Source organism: Homo sapiens, chromosome 10 (genome assembly GCF_000001405.40).
Source record: "Homo sapiens chromosome 10, GRCh38.p14 Primary Assembly".
NCBI classification, from domain to species: Eukaryota; Metazoa; Chordata; class Mammalia; order Primates; family Hominidae; genus Homo; species Homo sapiens.
In genome coordinates, this window is record NC_000010.11 from 128,518,871 (window position 1) to 128,522,483 (window position 3,613).

Genomic DNA, 3,613 nt, shown 5'->3' on the forward strand with positions numbered 1-3,613 from the left:
TAGTTAATAGTTCTTTCATCAGGAAAAGTGTTTTAAGATGAGGCTGTGAGTCACGGTTGTTTTCTTCCCTACCTGCGGACTGGTGTGGAAGAGTCAGACCTTTCCGAATGGCGGCTGGTCCTCCGTAGCAGGGCTCTCCCCTCTGCTGAGGCAGGGAAGGAGGGCCGCTTGCCGCAGGGACTCCAGGTCCCAGTGATGGCACAAGCATGTCCTTTGATACTCATGAAAATGACCAAAGCAACCGAACAGCACTCTGTCTAGAGGTTCTAACACCAGAGAGGCCCTGGTCTCTACAGAACACAGGCAACTGTTCTTTCTGGAACTTTCTCCGACTTGAACACATCTCTCCTCTGTCCTCTGTCTCCTTCCATTTGTTTTCTTGTCAGCCAACCGGAGGGTCAACTACCAGAACAGGAGCAGGTGAGTTCACCCCCGTGCCCCTACAGCCCCCACTTCACCCCGGGCACCACCCCACCCACCTCAGCCAAAGAGAGTCAGTTCAGGAGGCCAAGGAGAGCTACTCTTCCTGCCTACTCTAAGAAACTTAGAGCCACATCTAAGCCAATATAAGTGACATCCCTGGTACAGTGATGGTGTTAAGTCACATGAAAAGCCATCGACACATGCAGTAGCCGTTGTCCCCATCCACTAAGGGCGGGGGGGGCCTCATTCGTCTGAGAAGTCGCTAAGACTCTGCCAGGGAATCATGGTCTGGCTGACCCACTATGGACTTCAGCCTTCTCCAGAGAGTTGTTTTCTCCGTAAACTAAATTTTGCACTGCACACTCCCAATATCATTAGTATTAGCAACCCAGAGGCATTTCTGCAGCAGCAATGGCAGCAGCACAGCCCGCCCCACCTCCCTGCCGTGGAGCCCTGCTGCAGAGATGAGCAATGTGTCCCTGGCAGACGCCACACAGAGGGAGGTCCTGCAGTCATGCCTTCCCCCGAGGGGCTGGCCCTTCTCATGGACAAGCCCACTGCTCCTGTGCCTCACACTGCAAGACCGTCTGCAGATGCTGCAGCCTCTACTTTCTCTTCTGTGTGCCAGTTGCTCTGCTTCCTGCAGAGAAATAACCTCCATCACAGTGCATGGGGCTGAGAAGGACCTTCAAGAACATTTCATCCTTTCAGTTTGATGACAAAGAAATGGAAGCTCAGAAAAGGGTAACTTTCCCCATGTCAGGAATCCAGGGATGGCCAAGGTCAGTGCCAGTCCAGGCCCATGCTCTGTTGCCTGGGTCTCTAGTTTGTGACCTGATGTCTGTCACTGAGGCATCTCCTGGGGTTTCCCCTTCTGAGAAGGGGGCTGTTGGCACCATCCAACAAAAGGCAATGTGATCTTTCAGAGGCCCTGGTGCACGAAGCTGGCCCTCCTGCCTTCATGCCATCTTTAGGTGTGTCCAGCCTGAATATGTAGCTTACCTGCTTAGACCTTTACAGCGGCTCACACAAGTCTACGGGTCAACATGGGTTGCTGTTCACTCTGGCCTTAATTGACCTTGCATTCCGTGTCCATGTCTCAGCCTCGTTGCTGTATTCACTAAGTCTTGAGGACTGTCCTTGTCTGCAAATTCCTTCCATTCAGCCCTAGATAGGTGGGCTCCGCCCTCCATAGCCCGTCTGCCACCCCTAGCCTTTGGCTCCTCACTGACATGTTGTTCATCCTGGAGGCTGGCCCTGCCTCTGAGGCCTGGCTGAGGCGTTTCTCACACGCATGCCCTGGCATGTCTCTCTCTGTGGTCATATCCCCTAAAATTCTGCAGTATCACTGACTGTTTACTGGTCAGCCACTCCCACGTGGATGGTGACCTTCACATACATGGTGGGGGCCACGTCTGCCTTGCACAGCTGGGTCATCACTGGCACCTAGCAGGCTGACAGAGCTCCACACACATCCCTTTAGGAAGAAGTGGTAGATGGAAACCTTCCCTAGGGAGCCTTTCCCCTCATCCAAGGTAGTCATCCTCACCCGGTCCTCCAAGAACCCATTCTACTTCATCTGTACCCTCATGTGGCTGTTCACAAGGGTGTCTTGATGCCATCATATGCATAATGACAGACATGTTCTTCTGATAGTCACAATAATGGATTTAACACCCAAGCCTTGCAAAGCATTCTACTATACACTCTTCTACGAGCTTCAGGAAGCGTTACCGAGAACCTCCAAGGGCCTGGCACTGATTTGGGGACAGGGTCAGACAAGGTGCTGCACACTTTCTTTCTCTCTCTTTCTTTTCTTTCCTTTTCTTTTCATTTCTTTCTTTTCTTTCTCCTTCCTTCCTTCCTTTCTTTTCTCTTTCTTTCGTTTTTTTCTTTTTTTTTTTTGAGTTTCACTCTTGTTGCCCAGGCTGGAGTGCAGTGGTGTGATCTCAGCTCACTGCAACCTCTGCCTCCTGGGTTCAAGTGATTCTCCTGCCTCAGCCTCCTGAGCAGCTGGAATCACGAGCACATGCCACCATGCCCAGCTAATTTTTGTATTTTTAGTAGAGACAGGGTTTCACCATGTTGGCCAGGCTGTTCTCGAACTCCTGACCTCAAGTGATCCGCCCACCTCGGCCTCCCAAAGCGCTAGGATTACAGGTGTGAGCCACCATGCCCAGCCGGCACTGCAAGCTAAGGCAAATCACTGCCCTTAAGGGGCTATGGCCTGAGGAGGAGCATTGTTAATTATTCTGTAGCTGAGTGCCAGGAAATATGAGGATGGGAGGGAGAGGCAACTGTGGGCTTCCAAGACCTGATGCTTGAGCTGAGTTTGAGGAAGGGAAAGATTCTGGAATCATAAGTGAATACATGCTGCATGAATGAATGACGGCAAGAGAGTGAAGTGAGGAAGGGGCCAGTTGCCCAGCCGCCCTCCTCCTCACCTGGTGAATGACCTAACTTCTTGTCCATCTGAGAACAGCACCTGTGAGTGCAGGAGATGCCTCCTTGTTTCCTCCTCTTTGCCACGCATTGAAATTTGTGACTTGTTCTAGAAAGAATTCCTCATTGTCCAAAGAAAGCAAACTCTAGCCAATTCTTCAACTCAGGTTCCTTTTTATTTCTACACAATAGAAATGAAACTTGCATCTTACCTCAAAATTTTAAATGATTATTTTAATTGTCCCCTGCCCCAAGCAGAGTCTAGTTTTTGTTTGTTTTCTTTGGGTCCATTTGTTCTTCTGTTTTTCTGCTCGATCCAAGTGCTCAGATGTGCTTTGTTCGACCCTCTCCATCCAGGTGTTCACCCTTCTCTGTCCAGGTCACCTGCAAACTCAGGGTGAGATTTGCAATGCCAGCTTGAGACAGTTTCCATGGCGTGAAGTGGGATTTGTCATGAAATTCTCAGCACAACCAATACGTTTTCTCTTTTTATCTAATGTCAAAATATAGCTGTTTGCAATTTTTGTCTCCTATTTGAGTTTTGTGTTTGACTTTGTTATTTAGGGACCAAGAGTTTATAAAAAGTCTGGCTTGAAGCAGCCTGGAGGTAACTGCCTGGAGGCCCCTGGCTCAGTGGAGGGAGCACAGACCAGGTCTTTTCTTGTGTGCTCGAGGCTTCCTGAGCTTGGTGCCTGCACCCACCCTGCCTCCTATTACTCTACAGGCACTGTCTTCCTTTAAGGCCAAG

The 3,613-nt window shown here is 50.2% G+C and overlaps 2 annotated features.

The window, feature by feature from the left end:
• Positions 421-1,312: an enhancer, noted in NCBI's record as "H3K27ac-H3K4me1 hESC enhancer chr10:130317555-130318446 (GRCh37/hg19 assembly coordinates)". NCBI's record gives its function as "activates a minimal SCP1, AML or CMV promoter by ChIP-STARR-seq in primed H9 embryonic stem cells {active_cell/tissue: H9 hESC(primed)}" and the evidence as "EXISTENCE:reporter gene assay evidence [ECO:0000049][PMID:30033119]".
• Positions 1,313-2,203: an enhancer, noted in NCBI's record as "H3K27ac-H3K4me1 hESC enhancer chr10:130318447-130319337 (GRCh37/hg19 assembly coordinates)". NCBI's record gives its function as "activates a minimal SCP1, AML or CMV promoter by ChIP-STARR-seq in primed H9 embryonic stem cells {active_cell/tissue: H9 hESC(primed)}" and the evidence as "EXISTENCE:reporter gene assay evidence [ECO:0000049][PMID:30033119]".